This window comes from Homo sapiens, chromosome 1 (genome assembly GCF_000001405.40).
Source record: "Homo sapiens chromosome 1, GRCh38.p14 Primary Assembly".
Lineage (NCBI taxonomy): Eukaryota > Metazoa > Chordata > Mammalia > Primates > Hominidae > Homo > Homo sapiens.
This window is the reverse complement of record NC_000001.11, coordinates 167,408,922-167,427,565: the sequence shown is the minus strand read 5'-3', so window position 1 is coordinate 167,427,565 and position 18,644 is coordinate 167,408,922. Positions and strand designations below refer to the sequence as shown.

General features: G+C 39.4%; 1 protein-coding gene across 12 annotated transcripts in view, besides 3 other annotated features; it reads right to left on the bottom strand.

The window, feature by feature from the left end:
* Positions 1–220: 220 nt before the first annotated feature.
* POU2F1 (POU class 2 homeobox 1) overlaps positions 221–18,644 on the bottom strand; it is a 206,461-nt gene continuing 188,037 nt past the window's right edge. For 8 of the 12 annotated variants that reach the window (NR_037163.2, XM_011509653.2, NM_002697.4 and 5 more), the window contains 3 exons: positions 15,262–15,607; positions 14,452–14,540; positions 226–12,066 (listed from right to left, as the gene is read on the bottom strand). Coding sequence is in view for 11 of the 12 variants with exons in the window: in XM_011509653.2 (XP_011507955.1) it covers positions 11,756–12,066; positions 14,452–14,540; positions 15,262–15,607 (746 nt within the window). In the remaining variant the exon portion in view is untranslated. Of the gene's footprint in view, positions 13,705–14,451; positions 14,541–15,261; positions 15,608–18,644 lie in introns of all 12 variants that reach the window. The other 4 variants (NM_001365848.1, NM_001365849.1, XM_011509655.2 and 1 more) reach the window with 2 other exon arrangements.
* Positions 1,376–2,346: an enhancer, noted in NCBI's record as "H3K27ac-H3K4me1 hESC enhancer chr1:167394457-167395427 (GRCh37/hg19 assembly coordinates)". NCBI's record gives its function as "activates a minimal SCP1, AML or CMV promoter by ChIP-STARR-seq in primed H9 embryonic stem cells {active_cell/tissue: H9 hESC(primed)}" and the evidence as "EXISTENCE:reporter gene assay evidence [ECO:0000049][PMID:30033119]".
* Positions 2,347–3,317: an enhancer, noted in NCBI's record as "H3K27ac-H3K4me1 hESC enhancer chr1:167393486-167394456 (GRCh37/hg19 assembly coordinates)". NCBI's record gives its function as "activates a minimal SCP1, AML or CMV promoter by ChIP-STARR-seq in primed H9 embryonic stem cells {active_cell/tissue: H9 hESC(primed)}" and the evidence as "EXISTENCE:reporter gene assay evidence [ECO:0000049][PMID:30033119]".
* Positions 14,388–14,588: a silencer, noted in NCBI's record as "peak441 fragment used in MPRA reporter construct". NCBI's record gives its function as "represses an SCP1 promoter by STARR-seq MPRAs in K562 erythroleukemia cells {active_cell/tissue: K562}" and the evidence as "EXISTENCE:reporter gene assay evidence [ECO:0000049][PMID:32103011]".

Genomic DNA, 18,644 nt, shown 5'->3' with positions numbered 1-18,644 from the left:
ACCACACTGAGGGTCTGGGAGGGAGAAATGCAGTGGCCATAGCTCCTCCTGGAGTGCAGGAGGAAGGGTGGAGTGGGGCAGGAACCAGGGTGCTTATGGTGATTCTGGGGTTCCTGAGAGCACTTGGAAAAAACAATTTGGAAGCTGAATTATGCGAAGTCTGAGAATCTGTATGTGAAGCATCCAGAATACCAACACAGCAATTTCAAAGAAACTCCAACAATGTGAAAACACTTGGAAGATGGTTTAATGATGTTTTACAACAGAAATGAACTGTACAGTTACAGTAAGTTTAATATATATATAAAAAATTACAGCAGACAAATGCATCTACACAAAATCTACCACTTCATTCTGATTCACTGTCACCTACACAATCTTTCCCAAGCCTACAGCCCCTGCAGGCAGCCCTAGGAGGGGGAATCATCTAAAGGGCACTTTTGAGAGAGACAGCACCGCTCATATTCCCCGCCACCTCCTCAGGCTTCAGGAGGCATCAGCTAATTCCCCAAAATGTAAAGTTGCCTGTGTTTCAGGTTTTCAAAACCAAGAAAACGTGTGTCTCCCAGGGGCACAGATAACAAGGTCCAGCACGCAAGTTATCAGCTGATTCTTAGAAAATATTCCTATCAGAGGGGAAATATTTGGCTAACAGGCACTCTGGGGCAGTAAGGCTACACAATAGCCACCCAGAGTGCAGAGTTATCTAAGAGAAATGTAGAAGGACTCCCAATAAACCACCTCAGAATTGTCACTGCCTCATTCAAGCTGCTGGACAATTTTGGAAAGAATCATTTACACCACATCTTAAGTTTCCACAAAGAAGAACTCAAACTCACATTTTAAAGTACATAAAACAAAAAGTTCTAGGAGGCCGGGGGCCAATTCCCCTTGTGCCCCTCCTTTGACAACAGTGGACAAACACCCCTGAATTAATAATTAAGACAAAAAAGGAAGAAAAAAAAAGTGAGTTAAGATATTGAAAGAGAGAAAGAAAACATCTTTAGAAAAACACGATCACTGTCTCTTTAAAAGAAAACAAAATCCCAGTTGGGAACAGTAATGAGGAATATGCAATCTAAATTGACACCTGGTGGGAGATTATTATTGAATATTATGTACACTCAGAACTTTTTTCATTTTCTTTTTTATTATGAACACCTAGGCAGTGAAAACTGTTATGTTAATACATACATAGACACACCCAAAACATACAAAAATACTATTATTTCAAACTACTAAGAATAGGACAGTTCAATTATTTTCATGCTATGACTTTAAGAGCATTACACTGAAACAAACAAGAAGTTAAACGACATTTTTTTTTTAATATCCCAGAAATATACCAAAATATACATCTAAGCTTTGGAATTACTGAGGTTAGACTAATGCAAGTGCTGGGTAATCGTACTTAATACACGAGTCTAAGGTTCTGCAGGAAAGAAATTATCTTTGGTATCTGCATCAGGCTAATATTATTAACATTTGGATTTTGCTTTGGGATAGAGCTTGTGTGACCCAAGAACCAAGTACCCCCCTCCCCCAACCAACTGAGATTAAAAAGATCCATGTAAAAAGTTCCTTCATTTGCAATCCCCCCACCCCCCAAGTTAAAAAGTCACAGGCATCTACCTAGCACAAAAGGTTGTGAAGTACAATGCATAGTTGCACAGTGGTGCTGCAAAAAGGAAAGAAAACTACAATAAAGAGAAATGAAAAGCTTGATAATCTTTCTGCATGTTTTCTCACAAACAGGACAGCCACTTCCAAGCAGTTCCAGTACAGGAAAAGAAAAAAAGGCTCAGAAGGGCACCGTGGCGTGCATTCGCCCAGCCCCAGAGGTTAAAGCACCCAGCAGAGCAGCCAATCGTGCGCCAGTGTCTTCAACGTCCCCCACTCTGTGGAGTCCTCGGGCCAGTCCAGCAGCAGCTCCCACCCTCCCTAGGCCCTGTGCTAAGTCCCCATAGTGACCCTGGTTGGTGTAGGGTGGATGATGGTGGTGATGGGGTTTTTTGACTTTTGTTTTGGAAAATCTGAAATGCCAATTTGTTTCAGGGCATGCTCACAAGTTTGTGAGGGCCAAAGCTAGGGGCATGCACCTGTGCTGGACCCTGGAAGGTGGTAAGCAGCTTGCCTGCCCTTTCTGATCCAGTCAGAGGGTCCCCCCGCCCCACCTTCCCTGGCCTCACTCTTCTAAGTGCCAGGACACCACAGACTGGACTGATGCTGAAGACTTCCCTTTTCTTTGGTTCTTTTGTTTGTTTTGAGTTTATACAATCATTAAGAAATCTTTGGTTTTGGCTGGAAATTTGAAAAACAAAACAAAACAAAACAAAACAAAGAAACCACCCTCCCCTGGCTTATAGCAGCAGTATCATGACCTGGCTAAGCTTTTTGTCAGCATTAGGGGTGGGAATTGAAGGTTGGGAACTACATTCAAAGAAAAGGTGAAAGGGCTGGGGATGCAGCTTCTAGAGAGCCCATTGGATATAAGATTGTCAAATAATAATAATAATAATAATAAACTTAAATATTTGGATATTTTTGGTCATGTCAAAGGAAAAAAAGTGAAATGTGTATGCAGCAGTCAGCTTAAAGGAGCCTTTGGTGTCTTCCCTTCTACCCAAAGTCCTGAAAAGAAACAGAACCCTGAGGCCTCAGAGGAGAAGGGGTTGGCCTCTACCCCACCAAGGAAAAGGCAAGTACAGAAGTTGACGTGTGGCCAGCTGTCAGAAACACAGGGTGGGTTAGGGGTGTGGATAGCTGGCCAGCCCCTAAAGGCAGGGTGGCAGGGAAAGCAGATGTTAAGAGACCTGTGAAGACCCCTTGCAACAAAAAGGAATAGAAGATTGCAATTTGCCCTCAGTTTGCAGTAGCTTTTAAGCAGCGACATTCAGAGGCTTTAGGGGGTCCCACCCTAGGCTACAGGTCCCATGATGCTATAGGCCAGAGTTTAACATGACTGAGGAGGGAGGGCAGACTTGGCAACTCTGTAGGATTTCGAGAAAGTTAAAGCAAGTCACTCGGTCACGAGTTAGAAATGAGGTATACAACAGCTCCTGGACTTCTGGTGGGTAGAACAGCCCACGCTTACTCACCTAGCCTTCACTACTACCACAGATGAGGGGATGGAAGTACAGACTTATGCGGGAGGAGAGCGTTTCCTGCGGAGTGAGACCTCCTGCGGACTGAGCAATGCACACGTGCCCATGCACGCAGAGGTAAGAAGCTGGAAGTCTTTCTTTCCCCGACCTGACCTTAGGGAAGATACAACATTTATGTTGTCAAAAGCCAATGTTATAATATGATTGCAAAATCTTAGGCTTCCTGCACCAACCTGTTCCATGTTCTCCAACTGTTTGCAGTTTTAAACCTATTCAGGCTGGCACTAGTCCACTCTACTCTTACAAAGTGTGTGCCTTCTGCAGACTCACGCAGGAATGGAACCAAGGACATGGCATCCCCGACTGCCTACAACTACAGCCTTTTGTAGCAGACACTGTCATTTTAGCTTCTGAAAGTGCATTTCATTTCTTCCTATACTTTTAGACCATGAGACTCATTAAGGCTGGGTGGGAGCACAAAGTCTTTTCTCTACTTGGCTCTGTCCTTTTTCATTTGAAAGAGATCCCAATCTTAAGAAACTCAAGTGTTTGGACGTCTCATTTATACACAGCGCTGTATCCAGCTGTCTGCCTGCAGACTTTGGGATATAATGTTTGAGAACTCAATGCCACTGCCAATTTATGAAAGAAGCCTTAAGCTGCTCTTGTGAAGCTGTGGCTAACTTATACAATGATGAACAAGTACACAAAGAAAACAAGGGAAAACTTTGCAGCAGTCCTCAATGTTTTTTACAGTAAATTAGTTTTGGGGTCTTAACTTTTTGACAGTGTCCTGGGTTTAAACCAGAAGGTGGCCCTGGGTGGTGGAGCCCTGTGCAGGGTGGGCAGATACAGGGACACAGAAACAATCATAAATCACATCTTCCCTACCAGGTCCAAGGGACCTTTGTTTCTGTGCTCAAAGTGGTGTTCCATTACACACACCTTGTTTTCCCAGAACTTCTGTTTCAAGTGCTCTAATCTTCAACATCCCTATTACCTACTTATAAACCTATCTAGCACTTTGACAAGTCATACAATATTAATACCACCTTTACATAATGTCAGAACAATAAGATTATTAGTAAAGCTTTCATGAAGTTCTGCAACCTAATCATTTTTGATGCAATATTCAGAGAGTGATACATTTCTTTACCCTCTCTCCCTTTCTGTGTCCTATCAATAGTACACCGAAACAATGAACTACCTGACTCCCTAGAGCCCATATATAAAAACATTTGGAACAAAACATTTATAGGAGAGTAAGGGAAGATCTTTTGGTTTTCCACGTAATCCTGTTCTTGAAAATTCTTATCTTTTACAGGAGACAGATGGAGATACCACATCTAAATATTGTCTGAACTCATATAGGCTGTGTTGGTTCTATTTAAAAGTATTAGATAAAGGGAAATAATGAAAAAATTCTACCCCTATCTTTTGCCCTCCCCAAATTTCTCAGCAATTCCAAGAACATCACTGCTAGATTGAGCAACTATCCATCTTTAAAGAGCCAGCAGAGCAAAACAAAATAAATCTCTTTTCCAAAGCCAGGATAACCAAGAAGACTTCCTTCAAAAAGCAGGGGACTGGGAAAAGGGGAAAAGGGAAGGAAAGAGATAAAGTAAAGCTTTTCCAAATTTTGGCTTTTTGCTCCTATTCCCTCTGCCTGTTTTGAAAACTTAAGGATAAGCAATGACATTAGCAGTGTCTTTGGTATCTAAACCAAATCCCACTTAAGTTCTGTGGGATCATTTATTTAAAAAAATAGCCTTTCTAGAGATACAGTCTATATCCGAACTCAGGGAGCCAAGAAAGTTTGTCCCAGAGTATGGGCAGAAAGGGCTTGTGATTTTTCCTAAGCCAGCATCATTTCTCATTCATGTTCCCACCAAGAATAATTCTCTCCTCAATCCCACCAACTAATCCTTAAGGTTCACACTTTGTATCACAGGGGTGAGGTGGGCAGGTTAGCTTTCAACTTCTTGGTTTGCTTTTTATCCTGTTTGTGTTTTTGGTCTAGAAAGAACTAGCCTTGGTATGAGAAAAGTAAGTAAGGTTTTAAAGTGTTGTGTTATTAGCACAACATTCAGTAACTTGACAGAGGGCAACACAAAGAACCTGTTTCACTTTAACTTTCCTAGATTTAAGATACATCAATCACTCACCTCTTGGCTCCAAATTAATTGGTGCATGTCTATGTCTGCCTCTGTTTCTCAACTGCACATCCAGGCATTCACGCATTCATCCTTTGCCTATGCTTTTGCTATGTACAGAGGTAATGAATCATTAGGAGAGGTTGGCAGGGTCTGGGGGGCATGGGCAACCATAGGAAGGGATGTAAATGCACCCTCAGGGTCCCTGAACCTACTGGACACCCCATATGTTACCTGCATGCCACCACACACTGCTGCAGACCAGACCACAGAGGCCAAAGCCAATCACAGGGAAAATCAAGTTTCCTTTGGCAAGACAGATATAAGAAAAAACAAACACACACACGAGCAATGTTTTCCTTCTAACATAATCAACATCTCCTCTTCCCCCACCCAACCCTCCCTAACCCTATAAATTGTAACCTATAAACAGGATCCCAAATACATACAGCATCAATCTTGTTTATCGATCATAATAAACATTAGTTCAACTAAATGCTACAGCTAGAATTATTTCCACTATTTATAAAATTTTTTCACTTATTTATTTGGTTTTTAGTTTAAAACCAGTTTTGCAACAATGCTAAGCTATTCTGAGGTATTTTATGAAGGTGCCAGAAGCTAGCTGTTACCCAAATTAAGGTACCACCATTCAATGAGAAAAAGAAGGGAAGGAAAGGAGATCCAGGTGACATAATCAACATAAAATTCACTCACATTTACTGCTTTTAGCTAAGGCCAAGAGTAGAAGGGCCAAAACAAGGAACTACTTAATGAATAAGGTTAGAAGAAAACTACAAAATTTTTTTTTAAAAGCTACAGTTCACAAACCATATAGAAAACTGGGTACAAACTGGATGCTCTGAGAAAAAATATATTCCCTGCCCTCCCAGTGGAATCCTTTCAAATACCTTACTGGAAATCTCAGGGGTGTCCTATTTATATTTAATCTCCTTGGACTAAGAAATGGATGATTGGCCTTTATGATGAAAGCAATTTATTTATCCTATTCCTGTCCAAGTTTACATTTGTATTGTGGACACCATCCATGCAAACCTATATAATAGCTGATCTCAGTTATTCTTCTTACAGAAATAGCAAAGAGGATTTTTCCCTTCTCAAAAGCCAAGTTTGTAAACGCTGAGAAAGATTTACCATTTTATAAAGTGTCATCCTCAAAATGTTGTAAAACTGAAAATGACATCAAATAGCCAGGACTATGAACAGCATCACACATTAAATGCTTTCCACACACACATAAAAGCAAACTCATATCAGTTATGAGCAAATTAACCCATCAATTCTTGTCCATTTTGGAAAATTTTAAATTTTGGGTCTTTAGTATTTTTCTCCCATTAGTATCAGTCATCTTTTAATGTTTTCAACTCTAATAAACAAACTTTAAGTTCATCAAGTTTAGGTGCTGATTTAATGAGAAAGTATTTGGCCAAGCTCTCCAAATGAATTGTTGGGGCCCTTCCTCAAACTGCAGACTGGTCTTCAGAAGGCCCCCCAAGAGCCAGGCCAGAGCCACCTGTCAGCGTGAATCCCCTGCCTCCTCCTTGCTACCACACCCTACACTCAGTGATACAGTGAGTCAGCAATACTACTGACTTCTCCCTGGCAGGGCTTCTCCTTTCTTGGGAAGAAACAACAGCAAGAGGCTTTTCCTCTGTCTTCCTATCTCAATGACCTTATCTTTTTTCTTGGTCAAGAATGTTTCGTGAGGATGACCTGGTTTGGGAACAGCTTTAGACTAAGAACAGAGAGTTCTATAAGCCAAGCGTTTATTCTACACTAATTGCAATGTATAATATCAGGATTTATCACTTTAAAAATTGACATGAGGATGGGCACAGTGGCTCATACCTGTAATCCCAGCACTTTGGGAGGCCAAGGCAGGCAGATCACCTAAGGTCAGGAGTTCAAAAAGCCTGGCCAACACGGAGAAATCCCGTCCCTACTAAAAATACAAAAATTAGCCGGGTGCGGTGGTGGGCGCCTGTAATCCCAGCTACTTGGGAGGCTGAAGCAGGAGAATTGCTTGAACCCGGGAGGCAGAGGTTGCAGTGAGCCGAGATCATGCCGTTGCACTCTAGCCTAGGCAACAGAGCAAGACCAGAAAAAAAAAAAAAAAAAAGACATGAATTCCCTATATTTGCCAATGTATCCAACTTTTCCAGCAAGTTAAAAAGAAAATTTTTTAATGTTAAAGATTGGGCTGAATTTAAATATTGTGTCAAGCAAATATCTGTGCTTCTGGATAATACAGACAAGGTTTCCCTTATCTTTCCAAATAAATGAGGGATAATGGAAGAAAATAACATTAAAGAGGTATAGTTGTGCTTTTTTTTCCCCCAACAATGAATGAGAGATGTACAACAAATTGGCAAGATGATCTCACTAAGAATCTTTAATCTTATCTTCCCTTTTTTAAACAAAAAAGACTTATTTCTTACAGTGCTAGCATTAAGTATAAGTAGGTATGATTCTACACAAAATGAAAGTTGGATTCCTTTGGTTCCATTTCTTGGGTAACAAGTTGAATAAATTGGGATAGTATTGATCTTTCTGATAACAAATAAAAGGACATGTGAATTATATCAGTTAATGGATATACACAATTCTTAATTCTAAAATGCTGCCTATAGAACTTTAGAAACACTTAAACTAATACAGCACTCAACTTATTTTTTCTTAGAACAACATAGTAATATTGTTCCTGTGAGAAGCCCTTTTTTAGGTCTTTCTGCTCTGTTATTCAGATGTATACAGGGTATAAATAAAGTTTATGACCAAATTGCACCACTTGTGATAAGCAGGATTCACACAATTACATTCACCACTCCTTAGGGAGGACCCATTACCATGGGCATACATAGTATTCACTATAAATGCATTTAGAATAGTCTTTGGCTTAGTATGTGCTAACCAAATTCAGAAATATAAAATAAAATTTGCATAAACATTAAGGGGAAAAAAAAAGAATAATACAATGAATTGTGATGACCTATCTGGCCTTTCTTCTTTGAAATGCAGAAACTCCACCAAACACCTCTTTTGGTCAAATGGTCCCTGGTCCCCTTTAGTTTCCAGGCTCTCCCATATAAGGTGGCTAAAAGTTAAATTTGAGTATCTTAGCTTAGAAGATAGTTCATTCAATTCAAAATGCATTTCTTGAGATGATAAAAAAATATATACGTAAAGTAAAAAATGACTAAGGTGTTCATGAAGCAATACGATAAGTAGAATATCTAGGGATGATGGATAGGGAGTTGATTTTAAACTAAACAACCACCAAAAAGCTATATTAGTGTTTCGTGTGTACATGTGTAAATGTACCTTTCATTTCACAACTTATTTTTAAATAAGTAAAAAAAGAGAAAAAAATTTATTTTTATCTAAAGATTTATCTTTTCCTAAAGATTATTTCTTCTTTTAAACAGATTTTTTATGCTGGTCTACCCTCATCAAGTGCTTCACATAAAATCCCCTTATCCCAAATTGAGTAGAAAATATAGACAGGGCAGGGAATAAAAGACCACTGTATTGACATTTAAAGCTTAGTATCTTTTCTAATATTAAAGTCTGTTGGTGAGTTTTGTTTGGGAAAGGGATCATTTTCTAAACCATATGTGGGGAAAAAAAAACCACCCAAACAGCCTTTCCTTGCCCTTTGTCTTACCTCACTGAGCTTGAGTCCCTTGGGACTCCACACTTCCTTTGGTAGCAATTTTGAGAAATTAATGCTATAACTTCTAATCCAGTATACTGGGTACCAGCATTTCCCTCCCTGAATCCTTCCTTCTAAGTTTCACCACTCCCAAGGGAGGGACTCATTATTATGGGCAGCTACAGCATTACTGATAGCCCTAAAATCATTTCCACAGACTAAAGGTAGAGATGTCAAGTCAGGATAGAAGATTAAATTTAACTACAACAGAGAAAAAGTGAATGGAGAGGAGAGAAATTAGTAATTGACATTGTCATTCTATTTACACACCAACCTAATAAACTAGTTAAACATCAAGTTAATGTCTGCCCAGAGGATATCACAATTTACCAACATAAAAGATTAAAAACAAGCAGCAACTTTCATATAAAATTAATAAAGACAAATGAAAAAGAAATTGTCAGTAGCATCTATCTCCTCGATGTGTCTGAACTGCACGTTATCAACTAGTCCATTAGTACAGCAGCTTGCTAAAAATTGACTTTGGTTCAAGCTTAGTTAAAAAACAAAACAAAACATAAAAAAACACACCACACAAAAAGGGTGAATGGACATTTGTTAGTTTCCCTGCTTGCAGTTCACTGATTTTGGAAGGATTTTAGGGAAGGTGAAGGGTAAGAGGAGGAAATTTAGGGGTGGTAATTAAATATCTGTGAAATAAAACACGATAGAAATAAACTAAAAGAAATATTTTAAAGGGGACTAAAATGTTTCTGACCTTTTAACAGACTGTCTCCCACTTGAATCACACACAAAAGTACACATTGTGTCTGTATTTACTGCCTTACTGGACAATGGGAAAGAGACAAGTACACAGAATCCAAGCTCCCTTGTGGACACAAACAAAAGCAATCAGAATAAAAATCACCTGTAAGTTCTCTCTACATCCCCAGCTCGAAAGGGAGAAAAAGTGCAGTCTTGGGACCACCAGAGATTTAAGCAAGCACCCACAGCCACCAAATGGGAACCTTTAACTCCAATAAGAAGGGGAACTTAGATGAGCTGCACTGCAGTGATCCAGTCTTTTGGAAAATTTTTTGGTACAGATGGCATAACAACAGTACACTGACAAAAAAAGGAATTTAATCTCCAAGTTACCCTTATTCCTCTTCATCCACTTTCACAAACTCTTCCTTTTCAATGGGCTCATTTATATAGTCTACAAACACCCTGAAAATAATTACAGAGCTAATTACTTTCTACATTGAATAAAGAGATGTGTATTGCCATTTAGACCTACCTAGCAGGAGCATCATGAACAAACCAAGGAGACACTTAAGGTGTGTGCAAAGTTCCTGCTCAAAGTCCTTCTTCAAAGGTTCTACAGATCCCAGCCCGGCTAATAAGTGCCTCCTTTAGTCAGAGAACCAAGAAGAATCTCAGGGTTAGAGGAATTTATAAACCATCCAGTGGAAAGGAAGTCTGTGGCTCTCTAGAGGAAAAGGTGGTAACCTTATACCCTTCTCATCACACCTCTTTTGTATATATTATCAATGGAAAATAGTCTAGTAGAATTCCTTTAGAAAATAAAAGAAGGGAAAAGTTTCCCAATTTCAGTAAGTCAGTTTTTTTTCTTTGCCAAGTTAGTTAAAGTTTGGATGAAAAACTTCCACAAAATGGAACAAACAAACAAACACACCAACAGCAGGAGCATTTTTCAGGAGATAAGAAATCAGGAGAACCACCAAGTCAGGTGTCTGCAGTAGTCTTTGCTCTTGGGAACCAAATCCTGCCCTGCAACATGTACAGCTGTTCCCATTGAAAGTAGCAGAAAGCAGCACTGTTGCACCACAGGAACTGGGCCTCAGGGTCATTCAATGATTTGGGGGTGAGTGAGAGCTACAGTTCAGCAGGAATTCCTTCCTACACAAAAGTGCTCCAAAGGCACCACCTGATGTGGGGAGGGGAAGGGGCGTGTGTGGAATGGGAGTGTTTGCACACACTGCCTTCAGCTTCTGCACCAAGCCTCTTGCATAAGTGGCAAAAGAAAATAATTTTCTAGCACCTCTGTAAGAGTCATCAAGGATAAGGAAACCAGCAAGAACATTCCCCACAGTTAAGAACAGAAGTCTCCCCTTACCCCAAAACCCTCCCTCCCCACAGTGTGGGAGCTCACTGAAATAGGATCCAGGAGCAAGAGATAATAAACATGTCCAAACTATATATATAAAACAATAACAACAACAACAATAATAATACAGTAATACAGGCCTGCCTAAATTGTACCAGTTAAGAAAGGAACCCCCAACACAATTGATACGATTATAAACACCTTGTTATGACTTAATGGCCTGTACAACAGACCCATAAAAATGATTTTTTTTTTTTAAGAAAAAAAGAAATTTAGACAAACAAGAAATCCCCTTCCTATATTGGAATTGGTAACCCACCTTAACTTGTCATCATGACTGCTGGAAATGATAAGTAGTCCTTTCACTTATTTTTGTTTGTTTTTGATTTTTTTGTTTCTTTTTTTTTTTTTTTTTTTAATTTTTGGTTAGAAAGTTCTCCAATCCATGAAGCAATCCTGAAAAGACAGTGTTTTATTACAAAATTAGGCAAATGTTCCGTCTCCATCCTTTCTTTCTTTTTCTGGTATGTGTGTATGGGTGTGTGTGGTTTTTTTTTTTTTTTCTCCCTTCTCTCCTTTGCCCTCACAACACGGCGAGAGGAAGCCAATCACATTTTTCAGTTTATTAACCTGGCTGGCAGTCCAATCACACTGCAGAGTGAAAAAGGCTTCTGGCAGCCCAGCTCTGCCCAGCTCACTGTGCCTTGGAGGCGGTGGTGGTGGTGGACGCAGCCCCGCTGGCAGAGGCCACTGTGAAGAGAGAGTTCTGGATGGACTCAGCAGAGGTGGAGGTGGCGTGAAGGCTGGCTACAGGTGCAGAGTTCCCTGCAGATGCTGCGGCGGCAGAGACCAAGCTAACAGGGTTGCTGGTGAGCAGAGAGAGGTTCTGAGGGTTCAGGAACAGAGGGGCAGTCACGATGTTGGGGGCTCCTCCCGCATTGGCAAATACCAGGTTCCCAGTTGCATCAAGTGATGTTATTGGAAGAGAGCCACCAGAAGCAAGAGCTACAGACAAAAACCCCCCAAAACAGGCAGGAATGAAAACATTAACATCATCCTGGAGAAGCCAAATAACACATCAAAAGTCTATCATTTTCCTACAACCCACCAGGAAAAAGTATAGCCCTTCACTGAATTTTTTTCCTCAAACACAGTGCTATATTGATACCAATTGTAGTTTATTTTTAATTTTGAAGAGCCTAAAAGACTGAAATGTCTAATTTAATGGGCACAAGCAGGGGTAGAAGACAGCTAATAACTGTCTAATGAATTAGAGTCATGTTCGTGTCTTGAAATCACCAGTTTATTTCATTTACCTAGACATATTTGATAAATCCAATAATTTTGTCTTTAATGAAGACTGCTGATTTTAAACTACCTCTGTTCAAAGGACAAACTAGCTGAAGTGATTAAAGCATTAACAACAGGAGGTGAGTGGTGGGCATTACAGCCTGAGGCCTGCCTCCTGTTAGATCAGTGGCGGCATTAGATTCTCATAGAGCACGATCTGAGGTGGAAACAGTGTCATCCAGAAACCACGCCACCACAATGTGGCTATGGAAAAACTGTCTTCCAGAAAACCAGTCCCTGGTGCCAAAAAGGTTGGGGACCACTGCTTTATATTATGATATACAAGATGAAAATCATCTTGCAAAAAGGCTTTAGTTCTAAAATAAATTATGTATCACCAAATAAAGTTAAAAGGTATAATTAATTTCTCACTTCCTGAGGCTAAATACTTGATTTCTATGACTTGTGCAAAGGAGAATGATGAATCTATTGTAGCAGGAAATTAGACATAATGATGTAGGTGGGTGATCTAAGTCTAGGATGTGCTTTAATGGGTGAGAAATTTTCTATGATGCTGTTGCTTCCCCAAAGAAGGCATCATCAACATTTTATTTAAAATAATCGAGACTCTCATTTAGTATCTCAACCTGTTGTCTGGCAACATTCCTAAATCTCTCTAGCCATATAACCTCACTCCTACATGTAGATTTGAGGGATTTTCTAACGGCATTACACATTTGATTTCTTACATAAAATATAGCTGAAGGGAATGCCTCTGACTTTGGCCTTGCTCATACAAATAGTACAGAACAGTGAGACAGTGCAGCTTGAAGTTTTTCTGAGATTCCAAACTTAGTATCTTTTCAGAGTGTCAATCATGCCCTAGGGAAGACATTTTGCCTTTGTAGTATCAACACAGCACAGAAACATTCAATAAAGCAGAAGAAAAAGTGATTTATCACAAATTCTATTGCAAAAAAAAATTATTATATAACAAAAGCTTTAGAGCTAACCAATTCAGGTATGATTTAGTCAATCAGAAAGTCAATATAATGTAAGGTAATCTAGGCCATGGTTTGGTTTTGTCTGTAATTAACATTCTCTAGTACACTGTTAGAGATATTACCTGTGAAATATTAATCTTAATTTAGGTTGGCTAATAGTTATTTTTGGCCCTGAGAATTCTCATTTATGCACAAAACACTTTAATTTTTTTTTTTTTTTTTTAGAAACAGGGTCTTACTGTGTTACCCACGCTGGGGTGCAATGGTTATTCACAGGCATGATCATAGCACACTGCAGTCTTGAACTCATGGCCTCAAGTGATCCTCCTGCCTCAGCCTCTTAGCAAAACTATTTTAAGAAAAAAATTCTAATTAATTAGTGATGTCTCTCAAATTGTCTCCCTGAATCACATAACAGTAAACATTTTTAGACAGAAAGCTTAGGTACTAAACAAGTGGAACCCTTCAGTATATGGAATGAATATTGCCCTGGGTAACATGCTAAAAGGCAAAAGGAACCCAGCTGAGCTTGGAAAAGAGACATTATAATCCAAGAGAATATATGTTCTACACTAACGGCGATATAAAAAGAGCAGAACTTAATGAGAATTAAAAGCACTCCTGAGGTCCACCTGATGTGTTCCAATGTTTGTTCATTACAGGACTTTCCCATGCACAGCTTTCTCAGGAGTGCAGCTGGGAACTGGAGAGTCTTACTTGGTCAAGTTTGCCTAGAGACGGGTTTTAGATTAATACTTGGGATAAACTTATCAGGGGAAAAAAATCTGGCTTCAAGTCTACTCACATAAGATCAATATTAGCATGAAAGTTCTGGTTTTTTACCATATACCAAACTAAGTATATTTCCTGCTTTTACTCACATACTAACACCTATACTTTTCTTACAAAGCTTTTTTACGAGGACATTTTCTTAGTTCTCAAGAACAAGTTAGTCAGCATTTGACTCTTTCCCATCACTTTTACCTCTAGCAAAGCAGACTTCCTCTATCTCTGTCTCAAGCACACACACACACACACACACACACACTCACACACACGTGCATGCCACCAAATTAAGAAAAAGGCTTCTACTGACCTTGAATAGTTGCCAGTGTACTGTTGCTCATTAGAGCTGGGCTGAGAGCACCGCTCAGGGTCCCTGGATTCAGACTGAGTAAGGCACCTCTGCAAGTCCAAAAGAGGAGTCACTTTATTACCATGCAGACGCAGGTCTCATTTTGACAACACACCAAAAGGAACTTACAAAACGAAAATCCAGCTGGGGAAATAGGTGGAAATATTTATTTTTCTTTACTCTTCTATGGTTTGTGCTTCTCAGTTACTGCTTTCCTGGATGCTTACTCATACAAACGAGGTTATGATCAGCACAAAATGTAAAACTTTTATAGTCATTTTGACCCTTCTTTGAAAGACTTATTTCTCTTTCTTTCCAAAATGAAAGAAACATTCTAGAGAAAAAGATATATTTACAAGATAATTCTTATAATGTGTGACAATAACAGTATAAAATTGAGACTCCTATTACATCTCTTATCTATGCTTGAGAATTAGGAAGTAGGCAGTTGAGAGAGTTTAATGGGGAAAATAAGAGTCAAGAATTCTAGGCTTTCTTCCTGGCCCCGTCACTAAGGTAATTAGTGACCTGGTATTTTGGGTCTTCATCTGGAAACAAAGGTATGACTACTGCCCTTCCCAGGGTGTTAAGAAACATAAACTCAACTATAATCAAAGTCCTTGTATGATCACAAAACAGCCCACTTCAAAGAGATTACTGCTTTAAAGACATTTTTTTCCCCATCTAAGTCAGTGATGTAAAGTCTCCCCTGTGAGTAATTCCAGGGATGACCTCCACCTCAGACGTGAATGAGATGAGAAAGCGCCTTACCCAGCCGCAAACTGTGAGGGTGCCATCAGGCTTGGGTTTAGTCCTGCAGCAGCTGCCATGGCAGCAAGACTGGCATTTGCTGGCAACTGTGCAGCTCCTTGAAGGGCAGCAGCTGCTGCTGTTTGCAAACCTGATGCTGTCACCATCACCTGGCTGGTCCCAAGAGGGGAGGACAAAGGAGTGGAGGTGGTCTGTGTTGTGCTGGTCTCACTGGCACTGGATGCCTCGGAGGTGGAGGCTGAGGCAGAAGGGGAGGGACTCAGAGAGGGGGACGTGACTGCTGAGGAAGCTGGAGGCGCTGTGGAAATCACGGTTGCTGTGTTGTTGGAGGTGGTGTCTGAAGTGCCTGAAAAGACAAACAGATTAGAAGATGACCTTTTGTAAATGGTTTTGGAAGAATGGTGGCTTTACTCAGCCAAACTCTATAATCAATGGAATAATTAACCTACCACCTAGTAAAGCTGTCCTTTAATAACCTAGTTTAGTGCTTTTATGGAAATTAACTACAAAACCAAACATTTTAGGATCACAGCTAGGAACCCTACTTTAAGAGATATGAGCAATGAAAGAAACAGAGAAGTTTTCCATTGCCTGTTTCCTATTCAAGAAACAAAAGAATCATAGAAGCTCTAATTATGGAATACAACTGCTCTGGGGAAGAAAAAGAAAGCAAAAGAAGAAAAACTTCTGTAAAGCTCTTTTCATTCAGAAATCTCCTTAGGGGTCTCCTCAGAAAAATCAAAACAAGGAGAAGAAAAACAGAAAGTTATATGCTTTTCTAAGAATTCAGTATCAACAACAACATAGTATAAAAATGACTACATGCCTTCTCTACATTCAAACAACTATTCTGTAATAAAAATTAGCTCTCAAAAAGTCCATTGTGGTAAAAAAAAAAACAACATACAATGATACTATGAATCTCATAAAAGCATAAAAATTAAGATCTAAGAAATTATTATTTGTAGGCCGGGTATGGTGGCTCACACCTGTAATCTCAGCACTTTGGGAGGCTGAGGTGGGCAGATCAAGAGGTCAAGAGATTGAGACCATCCTGGCCAACATGGTGAAACCCTGCCTCTAATAAAAATACAAAAATTAGCTGGGCGTGGTGGCACGCGCCTGTAGTTCCAGCTACTCGGGAGGCTAAGGCAGGAGAATCGCTTGAACCTGGGAGGCGGAGGTTGCAGTGAGCCAAGATTGCGCCACTGCACTCCAGCCTGGCGACAGAGCAAGACTCCATCTCAAGAAAAAAAAAAAAAAGAAATTATTTGTGAGGTCTTAGAAAAAAGTGCCTGAATATGCTTTTGGTTTAAGGAGAATGAACATTTGGATATAAATGACTAACTGACATTAAATATATCATTACTAAACACTAAAACACATTTGCTGGGATTATTTAATGTTTGAGATCAGTGTTGTCTAACAGAAATACAAGACATATGTAATTTAAAAATTTCTAGTAGCCCCACTGAAAATGGTAAGACAAGGCCAGGTGTGGTGGCTCACGCTTGTGATCCCAGCACTTTGGGAGGCTGAGGTGAGTGGATCATTTGAGGTCAGGAGCTCGAAACCAGCCTGGCCAATGTGGTGAAACCCCGTCTCTATTAAAAATACAAAAATTAGCCAGGCATGGTGGTGGGCGCCTGTAATCCCAGCTACTCAGGAGGCTGAGGCAGGAGAACTGCTTGAGCCCAAGAGGTGGAGGTTGCAGTGAGCCGAGATGACGCCATTACACTCCAGTCTGGGTGACGAAGTAAGACTCCGTTAAAAATAATAATAATAATAATAATAACATTTTTTGGTGATGAAATCTTTTACCAAGCTTCAGAACATGCTCTTCTTTCATAACAATCTTGTTACAAATTCAGGCAATTTTGTCCTTCCAAAAATCTGTTTTAAAACCTTCTTCTGGTCTGTACTAAGAACATCTAGAATTGAACTCTCACTTCCACTCTTCAGTTTTTATCACATGTCACAGGGTTGGGAGAGACTCAGACATCATTTATTTCAGCACTGACTACTTTCTTCACCTCCTATAAAGCTGTGCAAAAGTGGCTGCCAAATGAATGAGGTAAACATAATGTTCTTATTGTTAAATAAAAAGGAAGGCTTTCTTCCTCTGTCTACCCTTCTGAAAAATATAAGTGATTTATTTTTATTGCCACTGCCCCTAAATATCATTACATCTTTGTAGATACTATGAATCCTATTTTCGTTCATTACTTCTTTGGTTCTAAATCTCTCAGAACAATCAACCACTGAACACTGGATGCTGTGTAGGGTCCTGTGTTAGGCAGATTCATATACCCTTTTTCGCTTTAATCTTCTCTTAAGACATGCCCCCTGTCACATAGTAAGGTGAACATCTTTTATTTCTCTTCCATGCTAAGCAATTTCAATGTACTTTCAATCTTTTTTTGACCAATTTCTCACCTTATCTAACCTGATTTTACCTATGGGTACTACTTCCCTTTCAAAGTTCTGAAATTGAATTGCCTATTTTTATAAGTCCTAATATCTTGAGCTCAAAAGGCTTAAAATAGTTATTTCTTTACTCTCCAGCCACCTTCAAATCATTCACCAACTGTTTTCTTAAATCCCTTAAGTTTACAAAGAAAATCCCAGTCAAATTTTATCAGTGAATTTAACCTAGGCCAGAAGATGATGACTCCAGAAGCATTCAAAATTGTTCTAGGCGTCTCCAATATAAATGTTATATAAATAAGCATTATGGTATAACAACTTAAAATTATCTTCAAATTAATTATCCCAGTCAGTGAGTCATGTTTTCATCAATATATGTATTTCATGACTGTAAATTCTTGGCAACTTGGCAATTTAATTACTTGGGTAACTTTGACTAGTGAACTTATTGTTGCTGAGCCTCAATGTCCTCAACAGCAAAATAAGATACCACCAACCACCTCACAGGGGCAGTAGGAAGCTATAGTCAAGGTGTGTATATAGTACCTGGCACTTCCCTGTGCTTCCCGCCCTGTCTTGTCTTTTCTCAAACAGCTTTTATTGAGATACAACTTATAAACTGGATATCCATATGCAGAAAGAGGAATTTAGATCTTTACCTTACACTGTGCATAAAAATTAACTAAAACAGATCAAAGGCCTAAATATAAGAGCTGAAACTATAAAGCTTCTAGTAAATAAAGTAGGACAAAATCTTTGTGACCCTGGGTTAAGCAAAGAGTTCACAGACACAGCACCAAGAGAATGATCCATAAAAGAAAAGAAAAATCAGTGAACTCAACTTCATCAAAAGTAAAATCTTTTGCGCTTCAAAAGCCACAGACTGAGAGAAAACATTTGCAGATCACATATCCAATAAAGGAACTGGAATTGTGTCAGAATGTATAAACAATTCT